Raw genomic sequence first — 21859 nt, forward strand, 5'->3', positions numbered from 1 at the left:
TTTGGGAGTACATGTGCAAATTTGTTACATAGGTAAACTTGTGTAATGGGGGTTTGCTGTAAAGATTATTTCTTCACCCAGGTATTAACCCTAGTACCCATTAGTTATTTTTCCTGATCCTTTCCCTCTTCCCACCCTCTATCCTCCAGTAGGCACTAATCATTAGGGAAATGCAAATTAAAACCACAGTAAGATACCATCTCATACCAGTCGAATGGCTATTATTAAAAAGTCAAAAAATAACAGATGCTGATGAGGTAGTGGAGAAAAGGGTTCACTTATACACCTTTGATGGGAGTGTAAATTAGTTCAACCATTATGAAAGATAGCATGGTGATTCCTTAAAGACCTAAAACCAGAAATTTGACCCAGCAATCCCATTACTGGTATATACCCAAAGGAATATAAATCTATCATAAAGACACATGCATGCATCTGTTCATGGCAGCACTGTTGACAATAGCAAAGACATGCAATCAACCTAAATGCCCATCAATGGTAGACTGGATAAAGAAAATGTGATACACATATACAAAGGAATACTATGCAGCTATAAAAAAGAATGAGATGATGTCCATTGCAGGAACATAGATGAAGCTAGAGGCCGTTACCCTTAACAAACTAATGGAGGAACAGAAAACCAAATACCACATGTTCTCACTAATAATTGGGATCTAAATGATGAGAACACATGTACACATAGAGGAGAATGACAGACACCGGAGCCTACTTGAAGGTGGAGGGTGAGAGGAGGGGCAGGATCAGAAAAACATAACTATGTAGTACTAGTCTGAATACCTGGGTGATGAAATAATATGTACAACAAACCCCTGTGACATGATTTTACCTATATAACAAACCTACACATGTAGCCCTGAACCTAAAAGTTAAAAAAAATCAAATTATACTGTTAAATTATTAGCATGATTTATAAACAATATTGTTTTAGGATAAAGAATTTAATTGCTTGGCAATTGCAAATTATTAAATTAAATATCAATATGTTAGGGAGGCTAATTCAAATGATATAAATATTTAGGCTATAACAAAAGGCAGCTATATATTATTAACCTCACCTCAAAAAGGGGCATAATTTCCATTCCCTTGACTTTAAGGGTAAATTAAGAGAAATTTGTAAAGCACTCAAAAGAATATTCAATTCAATATGTGGTGGACAGTTGAGAAATTATGTGTTATCTATGTCATGGGAAAGCAACTTTTAAAAAGAAAACATTTCCTCTGAGGTTTTCACAAATAAGTGAAACTGTGAACCCTCATATGTACTGTGAAAGGACAATTTGAGGAGCATCTCTGATTAGCAGCAGATTTATTATTCTTTCCTCATTTCATGTTATACTTAATAAAACAAAACATACCTGTATACACACACATTCACTCACATTGAAGATGCAAGATGAAGAAAGATACATGACATTGAATGTACAGTCAAAGAAAAGGAGTTCTGCCCAAACATCTCAACTTACATTTAAAGGTATGGAATTTAATTTCATTTTTTCAATTGGTGTGAATTAACATGGTAGTTTCCCGTATCCTGTTCCATTGTGTTATTGGACTGTTTCAGTATTTGGGTGCTTTTCTTTCTCCGTCTCTGTATCTCTCTCACCTGTCCTCTCTTTCAATATTAATAATGATTTAAAAATAACAACCTCTCTTACCATTTAAGAAACACCAGTTTCCGGCACTATACAGAATGTTTTATCTATGTTCCTTCATTTAATCTTACAAATTTACTATGAGATAATCTCTCTCTCTCCCATTTATCAATGTGGAACTAACACTTACTTGTAATATTTTGTCTGATATAATTTCTTAAGGACATTCTCTGAGGAAATATGCATACTCAATTAAAATTAATAATTTCAAATTAGTGAATATTTGCTGCCATTCACCTCCTTATCATTCATAGAATATGGTGTTTTAATGCTATTTTTTTTTTTTGAGACGGAGTTTCACTGTTGTTGCCCAGGCTGGAGTGCAATGGCATGATCTCGGCTCACTGCAACCTCTGCCTCCCAGGTTCAAGCAATTCTCCTGCCTCAGCCTCCTGAGTAGCTGAGATTATAGGTGCCCGCCACCATGCCTGGCTAATTTTTTGCGTTTTTAGTAGAGATGGGGTTTTACCATGTTGGCCAGGCTGGTCTTGAACTCCTGACCTCAGGTGATCCACCCACCTGAGTCTTCCAAAGTGTTGGGATTATAGGCATGAGCCACCGCGCCCAGCCTTTAATACTAATTTTTAATTCAACTTCTCAAAAACTTTATGCTTTTCACCAAGTTGACTCAAAATAAAGTTTATACACCAGCAATCAACATTTTAATTTGCTACTTCAAGCATACCCTCCATACACAATGCAATTCCATCATGCCACCTTAATGTGATTTGGCAAAAGAGATAAGCAGAAATTAAAGACACAAATAATCACAGTTATAGAGACTGTCTGTTCTGTTCTGTTGCTTTCTAAATATTTCTCTTTTAATAACTTCACCCATGAAAATTTTACTTATCTCTTGAGTCCTTCCACAAGTATCATCCATCAGTGATTCATCTTAGAGTTACATACGTGCTATGTATAAGAAATTTATTGCCTCTTCCATGTGAATTTTTAGATTCCCATATTTTCAAGTCTTTACTTCCTACACTCAATTTTTATTTCATTTTTGGAAATTAGAGATATTAAACCTGAAAGACTACAACATGTAGTGACTTCTCTGCAGACTTTTTTCCACACTCTGTTCATAAATGTCTCTCTGAAGCAAAAATGTGCAGATTTTCGGCTCCCAGATATTTAAGTGACACATACTAATATTTATGTCTTGTACCTTTAGCTAATATTTATTAAAGCTTGAGGTAAGACGTATTTTATGTGAATTAGATTGACAATGTGAGCCTTGGGGTTATGATGTTCATTCATTTAACTTAATTTTGTGATGACATATTTGTAAATCTTTTCTCATATATTGAAAAACCTTTGTTGCCAGTGATAGTAAGAAATTACATAATTGCTCTATCCCACTATACATATGTAGTAGTTTCAGAATCACTATAGAAATAATATTATAATAATAGTTACTTAAAACAGATTAAAATGTTTTGCGGTTTTAAAAAATCCTTAAGATATATTCCATTGAGCATGCACAGTTAAATGTTTTAAAATCACTTTAAGTAATTCCTCTCTCTATAGTGAAGACACTAACAATACCTAGTTAGATTCCTTTTCTTCATTTTTTATGGATTTTTTTTCATTTTTGTTTAACTTACTTTATAGTAGCATAAAACATTTACATATTTTCAGTCAAACTTATATAATGAGGGGCCAAGTGTGGTGGCTCATGCCATTAATCCCAGCACTTTGGAAGGCCGAGGCAGGATGATCGCTTGAGGCCAGGAGTTCAAGACCTGCCTGGGCAACAAATCAAGACCCCCATCTCTACAAACAATAGAGATAAAAAAATTAATCAGTCATGGTGGCACATGCCTGTAGTCCTAGCTACACAGGGTGCTCAGGAGGGAGGATCTCTGAGCCCAGGAGCTCAAGGTTACAAAGAGCTCTAATGGTGCCACTGCACTCCAACCTGAGCAACAGAGCGAGACCCTGTCTCAAATAAATAAATAAGAATTTAAAAAGTTTAAAAAATTACTTTCAGAGAAATCCACCTTGCATAAATCCAGCACCCTTCATAAAATTTACCATTTTGTATTTCTATATTTCCAGTGTTTACTTAGCTATTCTCACTCTTTTGTTCTTTCAGATAACTTTATAAAAAATTATTCAGGCTCACTCACCACAAACAACAACAAATAAAACAACCCGATGTAGCTTTTACGTCTAAATTACTTCCTAGTCTGTCATTAAGCTTAGGGAGAATTTATATTTTTGACACATAGTTTTCTTATCCAAGCACATGATCAAATTAATGTTACTCAGTTTTCGGTTAGTTTTGTTTTGTTTTGTTTGTATTGGGTTGGGACACTTGTCGAGTTTCTGTCTAGTTTTCTTTTTGTTTGTTTTTTTTGGTTAACTATCCGTGAGTAATGAATTTCTTTCATCTATGTTTTCACAGTGGTTACTGGATTATACAGGGCACTGATTTTAGTATGTTATTTTTATAAATGCAGCTACTATTTTTTGTTTCTGGAATTAACGGTAGTTTTTCAATTGATTCTTTTATTTTACCAAATCTGCACTCACATTACCTTCAAATAATTTTACCTTCTTTTTCTAATATTTCTACCTGTAATTAGAATATTTTTCTTCATTGAATTATATATTACCTCTTCGTATTAAAAAGTAGTGGAGATTTGAGCTATCTTTCTTTTTCTGGACTTAAGCAGAAAACCTTCTTTCAGTTTTCTCAATTGAATAAGATGTTAGCTTCATTAGACATAAAACTATTATGTTGAACAAGTATCTATTAATTTCTGTTTTTTAACATAAAGATATAAGATTTTATCAATTTCATTTTTTACATCTATTGAGATGATGATAGATTTTTTTCCTTAGCTTTATTAATATAATATTAATATGGATTTCCTCCTATTGAATAATCTTTATATTCCTAGAATAAACCAATCATGGTTATAATATATTTTGGTTGCTGATAATGTATTTACCATTTTTGTACAGACATTCATAAGACTGATTTTGGTTTTCCATTTTATTATTTCTGGTTTTGGGTGGTTAAAAGGCTTGTGTTTTAACCTTTATAAGTTAAATTAAACCATTTCCTTATAGGAGAAAACACAGGATAATGAAAGTTTTACTTTCTCCATTATTCAGCATCTTTTAAAATTTTTTTTTACTTTTATTTTTATTTTATTATTATTTTTTTGAGATGGAGTCTCGCTCTGTCGCCCAGGCTGGAGTGCAGTGGCGCGATCTCAGCTCACTACAACCTGTAGTGCTTAGGAGAAATAATTCAGTCTGAGTTGAATTTCAACCACCTTCCACAACTTTTTTTCCTAATGTTTTCTGATAATTATTTTTTAAGTTTTAAAATAAATATATGACTTTTTTAAGACACATGCTTGATTTCTTGGAATTTATTGCTTATCAATATTAATATATCAAAAATTCAAAAATAATCTCAGAAATGTGGAGTATTCATTAAATGAATTCTGATAAAATTATTTTAATATCTTTGACAATGTTATGATAAGAGAAACCCTGCGAACTATTTATCTAAAATATCATTCTATAGGGTTCATCATGTGCTTTCTTGACAGGGCTTGACAGCGTCAAATGTAGTTTCTCTATTTTCTCAGGTTTAAAGAGTATTTAGAATATAAATTTCAGCATTAATAATTCAATTTATTGACTGAACAATAAGAATAATTTCGGTTACAATAGAGGATTCTTATCAATTATTATGATAGATTTACATAAATTATCTTTGATAAGGACAAAATGTTTCACAAAGTATAGATATTCACTTATTCAGTATAACATAATTATTCATGTAATTTCGTAAGTCAGTGCCCAGCAGACCTAAATCCTCTGGATGAGACTCTCTACTGTCTGTCCAATGATAGCAGTTTCTTGAATAATAATCATTGAACAAGCACTCTTATCTTAAACCTGACAGTGTAAGTCTATGAAAAATAAAACAGTTCTTAAAAGTTTAGCATTTAATAAGAAGATGAAATATTATTCATGACTTACAAAGGATTTTAGGGTTTTTTTGATTAAAATAGCAGGATACCTAAAGCCATATTTAGTTCTGATTCATCCTTAGTAAATAAAAAAGGCTCAAAGGACTTGTAAATGTTATATTAATGATTAATCAGAAAGTGTTTATGTGGATACACATGTATTATCTGTAAATGCATGTGCATGTTCATGAGTGCGTGTGTCTCCGCAATGGTTGGAAAATTATTCAGTGCATAGAGTAAAATTCTTTCTACAAATTAATAATGTTAAATATTAGCAATTTCTTCAGATTTGATATGACACGTATCATAGCTTCTGACCATCCAGAGTGTTATCATTGTTAAATAAATGTATATATTTTTCTATTTACTTAGCCTTCATGCTTTTGATTGCCTAATATCTTTTGAAACCAAAACTAATATTTTATACAATCCTATTATTACAATTGCTATTGTATTACTTCCTGGAAGCATACTTTTCTAAACTAATTCATGTGATTAATGTCTCAGATTATTCAGTGACGTTGCACTGGTATAAAATCTTACTGGGAATATCTGGAACCGTGAATGGTATTCTCACTTTGACTTTGATCTCCTTGATCCTGTTGGGTAAGTTTAGAAGATCTTAATTAAATAAAAATATGAAAGATGTTTACTTGTCTCTTATAAATCTTTTTATAATTATTCATTCATTCTTCACTACATTAACCAAGATTGAATTAGAAGCTACTGCATGTAAAGCTCTATTAGTACACTCCACAGTGCTATATTTAATATGCAGTCAAATCAGGTAAGTATCTTGCCCTCAAGTGGCATACAGTCTAATACGGAGAAAGGAGTGTATGTGTAGAGTGTGTGTGTGTGTGTGTGTGTGTGTGTGTGTATGTGTGTGTATGTGTGGTATTTGAAACAGTTTTTCTGTGTTTCTTGGATACTTTAATAGATAAAATTTTACTGTTTTGCTTAAATATTTTAATACATTTTATCTAAGGTTGCATTTAGTTTGCTTTTCCTTTTGTCCAGCAAATATTCACCGAGCAGCTACAATACTCCAAATATTACAAATTCCCCAAAATTTTTAAGAAAAGAATAGTCAGGGTGAGGAATGTGATATTCTAGTGGGAGAAGCAGGTACTAAGTAATTATGGTACAATGTTCTGACTACAGTGTTGGAGGCTGCAGAAAAACATTAAGAAAGGATGAAAAGAGCCTATATACTTCCCAGAGCAGAAACTTGGCTTTATTTATTATTGTATTACCAGTTCGTAGGAATGCCTGGCATAGAATAGATTCTCACCAAATATGTGTTGTATAAATGAATTGATTGTATAATATTTTGAATTCTTTCCATCAGTAGACATGAAAATTTTAAAAAGATCCTAGTGACCGTTTCAATTATTTCTTGTTCCAATCATCGGAATCATTCCATTGAATGTGTCCCTGAAACATTCCATAGAGAAGATATTTACCTAACCTTAAAATAGTCCTGTATTCAAGTTTCTCAGGGAGTATTGCTAAAATGCCAAAAAGGAAGTTGTTCAAATGCCACTCAGTATGAGGACACTGGAGATCTAAAAGTGAATAATGGCACAAGAAGAAATATAAGTAATAAGGACCTTTGTGCTTCGAGATCTGCAGACCAGACAGGTATGTCTCAAGGCTTTGGCTTATCCTAGTTTTAATCTTTTGGACTCTCTAAATGTGAAGTATTTTTGAACAGGTATGCAATAGATTAAAGTAACAAGTAAAAGTTTGGTATAAGTCTACTTTTCATTCAAAACTCGATTTAGGTATCTTTAAACTTGTTGCAGTGGGAGAAAATGGTAAAACAACACAAGAAATAGGCTCTGCCCTCCAGGAATTTAAAATCCAGTTGATACATATAAATATGGAAAGTTAGTTGTTATTAAAAAGCAGTATGTAAATAGCCATTCTTGTTTGTCACTTATTTATTCTTCTTTTTCTGAAATACAGACTGGATAAAAGTCAATATTTTAAAAATTATTCATTATGATTTTAAGCTTAGACTTTTAAGCTTAGAAATTCCAGTCATACAGAATTTTGAAAACATTACCTTCTATTTTTAAATGTTTAACTTTTTTTTTTTTTTTTTTTTTTTTTGAGCAACAAGGCTGTTTATTTCACCTGGGTGCAGGCGGGCTGAGTCCGAAAAGAAGAGTCAGCGAAGGGGAGATAGGGGTGAGGCCGTTTTATAGGATTTGGGTAGGTAAAGGAAAATTACAGTCGAAGAGGGTAATTCTCTGGCAGGCAGGAGTGGGGGTCACAAGGTGCTCAGTGGGGGAGCTTTTTGAGCCACGATGAGCCAGGAGAAGGACTTTCACAAGGTAATGCCATCAGTTAAGGCAAGGACTGGCCATTTTCACTTCTTTTATGGTGGAATGTCATCAGTTAAGACAGGAACAAGCCATTTTCACTTCTTTTGTGATTCTTCAGTTACTTCAGGCCATCTGGGCGTATATACGTTCAGGTCACAGGGGATGCGATGGCTTAGCTTGGGCTCAGAGGCCTGACAGTCCTGCCTTCTTACAGTAATAAGAAAAATAACATAAAATAGTATTGAAGTGTTGGGGCAGCGAAAAAAAAATTTGGGTGCGGGGGGTAGCATGGAGAGATAATGGGCGATGTTTCTCAGGGCTTCTTCGAGCGGGATTAGGTGTGGCGTGGGAACCTAGAGTGGGAGAGGTCAACTTGCAGGAGGATTTTGTGGTAAGGGGTGATATTGTGGGGTTGTTGGAAGGAGCATTTGTTGTATAGAATGATTGGTGATGGCCTGGATACGGTTTTGGATGAATTGAGAAACTAAACGGCAGATACAAGGTCCGAATAAAAGAAGGAGAAAAATAGGTATTAAAGGACTAAGAATTGGGAGGACCCAGTACATCCAATTAGAGAGTGTCCAAGGGCGTTCAGCATAATTACTTGCTTGGTTGGCAAGTTTTTGGACCCTATCCTTGAGTTTTCTTATGTTGTCATACACCAGGCCAGATTGATTTAGGTAAAAACAACACTCTTCATTTAAGAATATACAGAGTCCTCCTTTTTCAGCAGTGAGTAAGTCAAGGCCTCGGTGGTTTTGGAGGATAACTGCAGCTAAAGAGTCAACTTGGGCCTGGAGGACTGATAAAGTTTGTGATATGTCTGTGATGCTAGCAGAGAAGACACTAGAGAGGCTATGGAAGGTCGTGACAGAGGTTGAAATGCCTCCTATTCCAGTACCGAGAGCAATAGTGGAGGCAGAAAGTCCTAAACCAACAAGCAAGGGAATTAGTGGAATAACTCTTTTTTGTCGTGTTGGTGTCATGAGGGGAACAGGGAGCTCTTCGGTCCTATTTGCAAATTGAATTTTGGGAGTAAGGAAAACTAGTGTGCATGTACCTGTCCAATTAGCAGGTAGACACATGGAGGTAGAGGATCCACAGAGGAAGAAGAGACCTTGTGCGAGGCAAAACTGGAGATGCAAAGTAAAAAGATGAGGAGTGCTGAAAGGGGTGTCTTGTACCCAGACTCCTGGGGATCCAGCTAGGGCGGCAGCCACCAGAGGTTGTAATGGGGACTGGTGGGGTAACTGCGTAGAGGGGGAGGTTCGATTTTCATGGTATATGAGAAAATGTTGAGTGTCTATGAGCTACCTTTCACTGTTATTTTCGGGGCTGGGTATAAGTAAACAAGAAGAGGGCCTGGGAGGAGGGTCTGATGAGCAAGGGGAAGGTAGCCGAGGATGGAGTGAAATACAGGGTAAGTGTCTTCCTAAGCAATAATTACTGCTAATATTTTTAAGTTTGCCAGTATTGATAGAGGGCTTTTCTGTAATACGGAGCTGGAAGGCTCCAATTGTTTCGGTGACATGCATAGCTGGACTTTGGAGATGAAGAGTAAAGGAACATGGAGAAGGTGAAGGGTTACTAGGGGAATTCCAGTGGGTCTTTGCCGAGAGATACATAAAGGAGTGGCCACAGGAATAGGAATAGTAGTTTGTGTTGTGAGAGGTCCAAATATGGGGGGAGTAGAGTTGATATAAGGAGAAAGGTTTTTTAAGTAAGTGTGGAGGAGGGCGGCAGCTTGCTGATATGAAATGTCTGGGGAGGTCTTGCTGGACCTGTCTAGAAAGTAAATGAGTTCTTCAGGAGGGTAAAGGTGAGGGCTGTTAAAGGAAGTTCAGAGGTATAGGGAGACAGATGTTGCCCAGTCTACATGTAAGGTGGGGGCAGCTGTGTAGGCGCTGGAAGAAAGGGAAATGCAAAGCCAGCAGTTGTTCAATAAGGAGAGATTAGAAATGGCTAGGAGAGAATAAGTAACGTTGGTAGTGTGGTGGAGATAGCTGGGGAGAGGTAGAGGGTGACATAAGAATGGGAATGATCCCTTCATTCTATTAGGTCTGTTTGTCCTTACCCTACTTTTTGCAACAGGGCTTTACGAAGTTACCCCCACTACTTGGACCGAGCCCCAAAAACTAGTCATCCCTACTATCTTCTGTCTAGTCATACTCCTATTCACCATTCTCAACTACTTATAAATGCCCTACTCTTGTTTACACTGCCGGTTTACACTGTTTTTCCAAGCCATCACAGCTGATATCTCTTGGTGCTATCCCCAAACCGCCAGTCTTAACTCCCTCTTAGAGTGGATAGGTGATCTTTGCTGGCAGGGGACCCTCCAATACTTCCACCCTGATGAAGTTCTATTCTTTACTTTTAAGTTTAACTTTTTGATACTTAACTGATCATTTTGACATTTGTTTTATTGTATGAGATGATATATTATGACTTTCCAGATAAATGTATAATTATTATAAAAGGATTTTTTTCTAATCTACTAGTTCGTATTTCCTCCTTTATCATACGTGAAAATTTTATATATTTTATGTTCTACTTATTGACACTGTCTTCATTTGGCTTATCTGTCTGTTTTACAGGTATATTTCCCAAACTAATAGATATTGTAGCTTTACCTCATATTTTATTGTCTCCCTATCTGTAATGTCTGTCACTGTGTTGGGTATCATTGCAATGACACCTTAGAAAAATTAAGGCGGCTTTGGTAGGTAAACATGGAATCATGTACATGGCAGTAAACATTAATTAAAGTAGGTATAAATACTGTATATTGAGCTACAATATATTTATTTCCTATTCCTTTTCTTAGCTGAGGTACAATTCAAAATTTGAACCTTTAAAAGTAAACAATTTCATGATGTTTAGAACCTTCAAACGTTGTGAACTACCATGTTTATCTAGTTGAAAAACTTTTCCCAAAAATAAATCCCTTACATACCCAACAAGCAAATCACTCTCCATTCTCTCTCCCCTTAGCCTCTGACAACTACAAATCTTCTTTCGGTCTATATGGATTTACCTATTCTGGATTTTCATGGAATAGAATCACACAATATTTGGCCTTGGGCTTCTTTCACTTAGCATAATGTTTTTAAAGTTCATCCACATTTTATTCCTTTTTATGGGTGAATAATAGTCCATTGTGCATGTATATCTATAAATATAGATACATATATACTTATATGTATCTCTATATCTATAAATACATATATATTTATATGTATCTCTATATCTATAAATATTTATAGTTTTATGTATATCTGTAAATATAGATATGCACAATGTTTGTGTGTGCAGAGCTTAAAGGTCAGCCAAAGGTGAGATCTTAGGACCTTTTCAGGTAATTTCTGAGCATGCATCCAGCTCAGGGCTTGTGCCTGGCCTTCCAGATTTTCAGGATTATGTGGGAGCTTTCCAAAGTCCTTATTCATGAAACAGCTCATTCCCCGGCTTTTCCTCTCAAGCTTTTCAGTCAGTCCTATTGTTTGTTCCAACTGTTATACCTTGCCTCATGTGACAAAAGCTAACACATTCAACTTAACTTTTACAAACATCGTTTGGTAGCCTCAAGGCAGATATCTAAGTCTTCTTTACTGGCAGTGATATCTACTGCTAAAACAATTCAAGAGTCCATAGGTGCTCTGGATTTCATAGAAACTCATGAAAAACAAACTCAGTTACATGTTGTCTGCTAATTCTACAAATAACACCTCACCTGACTTGAATCAAAATTACTACTGATAGCAAGGCCACCTCTTTGCTAGGCCAAACAAACCACCTACAGCCAGGCCCCTGCTTCAGGGTGAGCCCTGAGAACAAGAGAGTTTATATCGGACCCCAAAAGACAAGTGGGTCCCAGGTTGGATAATCTCCGGTAAATTGGTGAAACAATTACAATACTTACTAGGGTTACATGACAACAGTGCCAGTCTACTCCTTAGCTTCTGGAGGCAATCTTTCCTTCTGCACCTCCCTCTGTATCCATGAACGGCAGGATCCTGCTCCCACATAGGGATATGGTGAGCATGCAAGCAGGCCTCTTCTAGTAGACATCCACTCTTTTACCATATTAATTGAGGTTGAGTCTTCAAAAAATAAACAACTTTGACTGGCTCTGACTGACTTTTAGACATGAATGCCCAAATTCCTCTTATTCCAGGAAGCACTCATAAGTTAAAGTGATTTTTCTGGGGGGGTGAATAGCTTTGAGGAAGGGTAAATTAAAGAGGCAATTCCCTGCTCAACTATTAAAATTGGCCCCATTTTGCTAAAAGATGCTTTCATCCCGGTTGTCCCCCAAGACTATTCCTTTGTTCATCCTTGAAATGGACCTTCTCAGTCAGCACGTGATCTCATGGAAAGCTTTTACACTATTGGCGGGCACCACGTAGTGGAAAACAGTCAATCTTCCCTGCCAGTGTGAGTGGTAAATGCTCCAAGATACCAACCAAGGCAAAGAACTGCAGGATTGTGGTCTGTTATAGCTGACTTTGTCAAAGGAATTCTATTTTTTACCATGTTGCCTTTTAACTTCCTGGTGTGGCCTATGTTTAAAGCCACTACTAGAGAGTGAAGGCTAACTATAGACTACAGGGAGTTAAGAAAAATTATTCCTTTTATTAGAGCACCTCTATTGGATAATTGCTTTAATGAATGACCTTCAAAACATGGGTAAATAGTTTGGGTACAGACTTAGCTAACATGTTTTATTTAGTACACATTTTTCAGGAGAATCAATCACAATTTGCCTTCACATTTACTTGGTTGCTGCTATGAACTGAATTGTGCCCTCCCCCTAATTTATATATTAAAACTTTAATTCCCAAATGTGATGGGATTTGGAGACGGGGTCTTTAGAAAGTAATTAGATTTAGATGAGGCCATGTGGATGGGCCTTACTCAGTTTGGGGTGCCACAGCTAATTACCATAAACTAGGTTGCTTATGAACAACAGATATTTATTCCTCACAGTTCTAAAGACTGGAAGACTGAGATCATGGTGCCAGCGTGGTTGGGTTCTGGTGAGGGCCCTCTTCTCTGTTGCAGACTGCCAGCTTCTCATTGTAATCTCTCATGGCAGATCGCAGAATGACTCAAGTTATCTCAGGACTCTTACGAGTACTAATCCCATTCTGATCATCTGTTCTTAGCTCCCAAATGCCCACCTCCTAATACCATCATATTGGGAGGCAGGATTTCAGCATATGTATTTTGGGGTATGCAAACATTCAGTTCATAAAGTTTTACCTCTGAATTCCCAAAATTCATGTCGTTCTAACATGTCAAATGGAAAAGACAACACACCAAAAGAGAAAGATATCAGATAGGAGTATTATATTCAGAACATAGAAAGAACACTTATAACTCAAAAACACAACCCAGTTTAAAAATGAACATTTAAAAATGGATAGACATTTCTCCAAAAAACACTATACAAAAGGCCAATAAGCACTTGAAGAGATGTTTAATATGATCATTCATTAGGGAAATATGAAATCAAAACCAGGGTGGAAAGCCACTGCACACCCTCCAGGATGGCTATAATCACACAAAAAGAGCAAGTGTTGGTGAGGATGTGGAGAAATTGCTCACATATTTCTGGTAGAAATGTAAAATTTTATAGTACTGTGGAAAACAGTTTGACAGTTCCTCAAATTATCACATGACCCAACATTCAACTTTTAGGTATATATTTAATAAAATGGAAGACATATGTCCTTACAAAAATTTGTACATGAATGTTCATTGTAACAATATTCATAATAGCCAAAGAATGGAAGCAGCTCAGATGTCCATCAGCTGATGAAGAGATAAACAAAATGCACTACATACATGTTATGAAATATTCTTACAACCATAAAATAGAATGTAGTACTGATACATGCTACAACTTTTATGAACCTTGAAAACATTGTGCTGAATGAATGAAAAAGCCAGATACAAAAGGCCACATATTGTATGATTCCATTTATATGAAAGGTCCATCATAGTTAAATCCACAGTGACATAAAGCAGGCTAGTGGTTGCCAGCGCTGGGGGAGTAGAAGATGAATAGTGACTACTTAGTGTTTATATGTAATGAAAATGTTCTAGAATGAGATAGTAGTGATAGTTGTACAACATTGTGGGTGTATTAAAAGCCACAGCACTTGCACTTTAAAATGGCTAAAATGGTGAATTTTATGTTACGTGAAGAAAAATAATCACGATAAAAAATAAATAAAAAGAGACAGATTGTAATGGGCCATAAGTTAAAATAGTTATATTGGCCTTTACATATATTTTTATATATATCTCACTTTTTCTCAATACTATGCCAAAAATCTCGATATTTTCCATTTAATTTAATTTACCTTAATATTAAGCTAGGAAAATCAAAGAACTTCATAATATTTCAGTTATTAAGAGGTTGAAAATAAAGAAGTTGAAAATAAATTGTTATTCTTGACATAATTTAATCATTTAATCATTAATTAATATTAAGAGGGAGAAAGGGATACACATACAAAACTACAAGGAGAGCGATTTTAAAACTTTGTGTGGTTTTTACTTGCATTTCCTGTAATGATCAGTGATGTTAACGACGATGAGGTACTAACTCACACCAGTCAGAATGGCTATTATTAAAAAGTCAAAGAATAACGTGCTGGTGAGGGTGTGGAGAAAAAGGAATGCTTATACACTGGTGGTGGAAGCGTAAATTTGTTCAGCCGTTATGGGAGACTGTGTGGCAATTCCTCAAAGACCTAAAGGCAGAAATACCCTTCAACCCCGCAATCCCATTACTGGGTATATACCCAAAGGAACGTAAATCATTCTATTATAAAGACACATGCATGTGTATGTTCATTGCAGCACTATTCGCTATAGAAAAACATGGAATCAACCTAAATGCACATCAATAGTAGACTGGATAAAGAAAATGTGGTACATATACCATACCATTCCATACCATGGAATACTATGAAGCCATAAAAATGAATGAGATCATGTTCTTTGCAGAAACATGGATGGAGCTGGAGGCTATTATCCTTAGCAAACTAATGCAGGAACAGAAAGCCAAACATTGCATGTTCTCACTTACAAGTGGGAGCTAAATGATGAGAACACATGGACACATAGAGGGAAAAAACACACACTGGGGCCTACTTGAGGGTGGAGGGTGGGAGGAGGGAGAGGATCAGAACAAATAACTAATGGGTACTGGGTGCTACTTGGATGTTGAAATAATCTCTACATCAAACCCCCATGACACAAATTTACCTATGTAACAAACCTGCACGTATACCCCTGAACTTAAAAGTTAAAAAAAACCTTTGTGTGGATAAATTCTAAGTGATACAAATTATATTTTATCTAATCTCTCAAATAGCTATTTTATTTTGTTCATGCTATTTTAGTCAATATAATAGATCTTGCATCAAAAATCCCATTATGTCTAGGTTTTGCTTCATCTCATTAAATTAATTGTCTTAATTCCCAAGGACCATTATTTGTGTTTTGGCCATCTTTTGTGTCTGGACAATTTGCTATAAGTGATTTTATTGTAGCTCAACTCTTATTTATACAACATGTAAGTATTGTTCTTATGGCCAATTTTCAGAGATGCATATGTAATTTAATTTCATTTTGTTTTCTACATTTCTCTGTAGTACTATGCCAATCAGAATGGCTCAAATACCAAGGGAAGTGTTATTGGTTCTCTAATGAGATGAAAAGCTGGAGTGACAGTTATGTGTATTGTTTGGAAAGAAAATCTCATCTACTAATCATACATGACCAACTTGAAATGGTAATTGGTCTAGTATCAGGGTTATGGCATCTTTGCAGTAAAAAATGGCTTTCCTCAAATATCTTTCCATCTTTGCATTAAATCATCATTTACCTTGATTATCGAGTTTTGGGCACCCTCTTAAATTTTGTATTCCAAGTGAGTGCCTCACTTCTCATGCTAGATCTGGCCCAAATTCATATATTCAACTTGCAATTGTGTGTGTGTGTGTGTAACATATATATGATATAATGTGTGTATAAGTAAGATATGAATTGATTACCATAAGAATCCCTATGCAGAGTGCTTTTTTGCAATAACATTTAAAATATTCAGTGTGTCTGAATTGCTAAAATATTTTGTTCATTTAGTCCCTCGTCCACATTTTAGGCTTTTATACAGAAAAACCTAAGACAATTAAACTACGTATGGATTGGGCTTAACTTTACCTCCTTGAAAATGACATGGACTTGGGTGGATGGTTCTCCAATAGATTCAAAGATGTGAGTCTTTCTTAAAAGGCAATCTGATTTATTGTTTATTGTAGAATATGTCTCCTCCAGGTTCACCAAATTCAACTCTGAAATAGTTACTGGTACTACAGAATTCAAAAGAATGAAAATTAATTTAGTATTTACAGGAGTAATGATGGATAGTTTGATTTGACTTTTAAAGAAAAAGGATTTGAAAATGGTGGTTTATGATTTTAAAATTTCTCACACTTTATATAGAAAAGTAGATTGAATGAATGCAGTCTCTTATTTTTAAAGGTCTCAATGTTTTCTTTAGCCATCTTCAGTAATAAAATAAAACCAATGTGCATTTTTTGTGTTATGTGATTATCATAGTGTCAAAATACAAATGGTATATACAACATAGAACAAGATTATCCAAAAGTCTCTGAACAAATGCATGGAATTATTGATTTTAAAAGTTCTGTCAACATTTTTGTGCGCATTATTTTATAATAAAATATTTAATTAAAAATATAAACAGTAAAACAGATAAATTCAAAATCCTATTCCTATGTTAGCAGGCAAGATAATGGTCCCCAAAGATGTCCACATTCTAATTCCAAAATGCTGTGAATGTGTTATTTTATATGGCAAAAGAGCCTTTGCAGGTATGATTAAATGAGGAATCTCGAGATAGGGATATTATCCTGGATTATCTGGGTGGCCCCAATTAAATCACAAGGGTCCTTAGAAGAGGGAGGAAGCAGAATTAGAGTCATATTGGGAGATATGAAGTGGAACACAGAGATTCATATGATGTGAAATCACGTCTGTGAGCCAAGGCACGCAGGTGGCCTCGGATTCCTGCCTAGTACATCCAGAAGGTGACTCTGCAGACGTTTTGATCTTAGCCCTGTAGGGCAATCTTGGGCTTCTGATACTCATAGGTGTAAGATAATAAATTAGCCTTGTTTTAGGCCACTACATTTGTGATAATTTGTCATAGTAGTGATAGAAAAATAGTACATTATAGTAACCAACTTAATGGTGTTATTGTATTATTTTCCCCTTATTTCTATTCATCATTAAATATTACATATTTTCTATCTGACTGCACTAAATCAATATAAAAAGTGAATAAAAAACATTATTTGGAATGCAGTGTAAAATTATGGATGTGTGTCATCTGAGAGCAGAGTTGTGTCACTGAACGTCATGAAGTTGCCCAACTTGGTTTTGTCTTCATTCCAAATCCATTCATCACTACCCGTTAGGGTTGAGTTTTAAGTCTAGATCATGCTTGGAGATTTTTGTCCATAATATGTTCAATACAAAATTTAAAACTAAACTCGGACAAAGTGTATTTTCTAATATGAAAATTCAGTACTTACTTGCCCTTATCAATTTGGAAGCTTTGAAGATCATGTGCACCTTTTCCAAGATTCTTTCTTGAACTTTTTCCACAGGTCAAACAAATTTATCAGAATGTATCACTAACACTACATTATTTTATACATAAATTTGTTAATATTTTTAATATGTTACATTATAAGTAAATAATGCAATAAATATGCAATTTATTATTTAGGTCATGCACAGTTCGTTTTGTGTATTGAGTTCTTTACAAACCTCAATTCATATAACTGCTAAACAATATCATGAAGTATTATTATCGTTCTTATACAATTAGATATAAGAAGGCAAGAGAGGTTGTTAAGTGAGGTGTCCACATGGAGTTAATCTTATTTTTAATCTAACTGAACTACATGGGGCAAGAGGAGGAATACTAGAATGGGAATGTGGAGGGAAATTTATTCTTACTTCTGTTAGTTGCAGACTCTCTGGCAACTCTTGACCAACCACAGCTAACAAGGCTAAGTTACAGTTACTGTAATCGTTAGTGAATCCAAGTATGTAAAAATGCTTTGAGATTTTGAATTACTTTTTTATTTAAAAGAGGATATTAGCAGAAGACACAAATGGATGTCTTCAGCTACAGTGATTAACAAAGTATTTATTCTCTCTTCCCTAGATTCTTCATAAAGGGACCAGCTAAAGAAAACAGCTGTGCTGCCATTAAGGAAAGCAAAATTTTCTCTGAAACCTGCAGCAGTGTTTTCAAATGGATTTGTCAGTATTAGAGTTTGACAAAATTCACAGTGAAATAATCAATGATCACTATTTTTGGCCTATTAGTTTCTAATATTAATCTCCAGGTGTAAGATTTTAAAGTGCAATTAAATGCCAAAATCTCTTCTCCCTTCTCCCTCCATCATCGACACTGGTCTAGCCTCAGAGTAACCCCTGTTAACAAACTAAAATGTACACTTCAAAATTTTTACGTGATAGTATAAACCAATGTGACTTCATGTGATCATATCCAGGATTTTTATTCGTCGCTTATTTTATGCCAAATGTGATCAAATTATGCCTGTTTTTCTGTATCTTGCGTTTTAAATTCTTAATAAGGTCCTAAACAAAATTTCTTATATTTCTAATGGTTGAATTATAATGTGGGTTTATACATTTTTTACCCTTTTGTCAAAGAGAATTAACTTTGTTTCCAGGCTTTTGCTACTCTTCACTCAGCTACAATAAACATCCTGAATGTTTTCTTAAATAGTAGCACCTTTATTTCTATGATAGAAGCCCTAAAAGTAGTATTTCTAGGTAAAAGTGTTAAATGTGTTGTTTTATATTTTATACAATTTTTATATGTTGCACTTTTCTTTCCAAATTTAGAAGCTTTCAAACTTATAAGAAGATATTAGGTGCAGAAAAAGAATATACTTATTTCCTTGAGCAGTGGTTTGTAATTCTCCTTGAAGAGGTCCTTCACATCCCTTGTAAGTTGGATTCCTAGGTATTTTATTCTCTTCGTAGCAATTGTGAATGGGAGTTCACTCATGATTTGGCTCTCTGTTTGTCTGTTATTGGTGTATAGGAATGCTTGTGATTTTTGCACCCTGATTTTTTACCCTGAGACTTTGCTGAAGTTGCTTATCAGCTTAAGGAGATTTTGGGCTGAGATGATAGTGTTTTCTAAATATACAATCATGTCATCTGCAAACAGGGACAATTTGACTTACTATCTTACTATTTGAATATCCTTTTATTGCTTTCTCTTGCCTGATTGCCCTGGCCAGAACTTCCAATACTTAGTTGAATAGGAGTGGTGAGAGAGGGCATCCTTGTCTTGTGCCGGTTTTCAAACGGAATGCTTCCAGTTTTTGCCCATTCAGTATGATATTGGCTGTGGGTTTATCATACATAGCTCTTACTATTTTGAGATACGTTCCATCAATACCTAGTTTATTGAGAGTTTTTAGCATGAAGTGGTGTTGAATTTTGTTGAGGGCCTTTTCTGCATCTATTGAGATAATCATGTGGTTTTTGTCATTGGTTCTGTTTATGTGACGGATTACATTTATTGACTTGCCTATGTTGAACCAACCTTGCATCCCAGGGATGAAGCTGTCTTGATTGTGACGGATAAGCTTTTTGATGTGCTGCTGGATTCTGTCTGACAGTATTTTATTGAAGATTTTCACTTCGATGTTCTTCAGGGATATTGGCCTGAAATTTCGTTTTTTGTTGTGTCTCTGTCAGGTCTTGGTATCAGGATGATGCTGGCCTCATAAAAGGAGTTAGGGAGGATTCCCTCTTTTTCTATTGTTTGGAATAGTTTCAGAAGGAATAGTACCAGCTCCTCTTTGTACCTCTGGTAGAATTCAGCTGTGAATCCATCTGGTCCTGGGCTTTTTTCAGTTGTTAGGCTATTAAATACTGCCTTAATTTCAGAACTTGTTATTGGTCTATTCAGGGATTTGACTTCTTCCTAGTTTAGTCTTGGGAGGGTGTATGTGTCTAGGAATTTATCCATTTCTTCTAGATTTTCTAGTTTATTTGCATAGAGGTGTTTATAGCATTCTCTGATGGTAGTTTGTATTACTGAGGGATCAGTGGTGGTATCCCCTTTACCATTTTTTATTGCATCTATTTGATTCTTCTCTCTTTTCTTCTTTATTAGTCTTGCTAGCGGTCTATCTGTTCTGTTGATCTTTTCAAAAACCAGCGGCTGGATTCATTGATTTTTTGAAGGGTTTTTCGTGTCTCCATCTCCTTCAGTTCTGCTCTGATCTTAGTTATTTCTTGCCTTCTGCTAGCTTTTGAATGTGTTTGCTCTTGCTTCTCTAGTTCTTTTAATTGTGATGTTAGGCTGTCGATTTTAGATCTTTCCTGCTTTCCCTTGTGGGCATTTAGTGCTATAAATTTCCCTCTACACACTGCTTTAAATGTGTCCCAGACATTCTGGTATGTTGTATCTTTGTTCTCATTGGTTTCAAGGAACATCTTTATTTCTGCCTTCATTTTGTCATGTACCCGGTAGTCATTCAGGAGCAGGTTGGTCAGTTTCCGTGTAGTTGTGCAGTTTTGAGTGGGTTTCTTGTTCCTGAGTTCTAATTTGATTGCACTGTGGTCTGAGTGACTGTTTGTTATGATTTCAGTTCTTTTGCATTTGTTGAGGGGTGTTTTACTTCCAATTATGTTGTCAATTTTAGAATAAGTGCCATGTGGAGCTGAGAAGAATGTATATTCTGTTGATTTGAGGTGGAGAGTTCTGTAGATGTCTGTTAGGTTCGCTTGGTCTAGAGCTGAGTTCAAGTCCTGGATATCCTTGTTAATTTTCTGTCTTGTTGATCTTTCTAATATTGACAGTGGGGTGTTAAAGTCTCCTGCTATTATTGTGTGGGAGTCTCTTTGTAGGTCTCTAAGGACTTGCTTTATGAATCTGGGTGCTCCTGTATTGGGTGCATATATATTTAGGATAGTTAGCTCTTCCTGTTGCATTGATCCCTTTACCATTATGTAATGCCCTTCTTTGTCTCTTTCTATCTTTGTTGGTTTAAAGTCTGTTTTATCAGAGACTAGGTTTGCAACCCCTGCTTTATTTTATTTTATTTTATTTACTTATTTATTTATTTTTGCTTTCCATTTGCTTGGGAAATATTTCTCCATCACTTTATTTTGAGTCTATGTGTGTCTTTGCACATTCAATGGGTCTCCTGAATACAGCACACCAATGGTTCTTGACTCTTTATCCAATTTGCCAGTCTGTGTCTTTTAATTGGGGCATTTTGCCCATTTACATTTAAGATTAATATCATTATATGTGAATTTGATCCAGCCATTATGATGCTAACTGGTTATTTTGCCCATTAGTTGGTGCAATATCTTCATAGCGATGATGGTTTTTGCAATTTGGCATGTTTTTGCAGTGGTTGGTATGGGTTGTTCCTTTTCATGTTTAGTGCTTCCCTCAGGAGCTCTTGTAAGGCAGGCCTGGTGGTGACAAAATCTCTCAGCATTTGCTTGTCTGTAAAGGATTTTATTTCTCTTTCACTTATGAAGCTTAGTTTGGCTGGCTATGAAATTCTGGGTTGAAAATTCTTTTCTTTAAAAATGTTGCATATTGGCCCCCACTACTCTTCTGGTTTGTAGGGTTTCTGCTGAGGGATCCACTGTTAGTCTGATGAGCTTTTCTTTGTGGGTAACCTGACCTTCCTCTCTGGCTTCCCGTAACATTTTGTCCTTCGTTTCAACCTTGGTG

General features: G+C 35.4%; 1 protein-coding gene across 10 annotated transcripts in view; it reads left to right on the forward strand.

The window, feature by feature from the left end:
* The window catches only part of KLRF1 (killer cell lectin like receptor F1), a 44954-nt gene extending 26086 nt beyond the window's left edge, over positions 1 to 18868 (forward strand). The window contains exons 1-6 of one of the 10 annotated variants that reach the window (NM_016523.3): positions 1344 to 1492; positions 6179 to 6277; positions 7166 to 7315; positions 15675 to 15814; positions 16184 to 16296; positions 18281 to 18868. In NM_016523.3, coding sequence (NP_057607.1) covers positions 1408 to 1492; positions 6179 to 6277; positions 7166 to 7315; positions 15675 to 15814; positions 16184 to 16296; positions 18281 to 18389 — 696 coding nt within the window. In that variant the 5' untranslated portion in view covers positions 1344 to 1407 and the 3' untranslated portion in view covers positions 18390 to 18868. Of the gene's footprint in view, positions 1 to 1343; positions 1493 to 6178; positions 6278 to 7124; positions 7316 to 15674; positions 15815 to 16164; positions 16297 to 18280 lie in introns of those variants that run through there. The other 9 variants (NR_159359.1, NR_159361.1, NR_159360.1 and 6 more) reach the window with 9 other exon arrangements.
* Positions 18869 to 21859: the final 2991 nt, after the last annotated feature.

This window comes from Homo sapiens, chromosome 12 (genome assembly GCF_000001405.40).
Source record: "Homo sapiens chromosome 12, GRCh38.p14 Primary Assembly".
Lineage (NCBI taxonomy): Eukaryota > Metazoa > Chordata > Mammalia > Primates > Hominidae > Homo > Homo sapiens.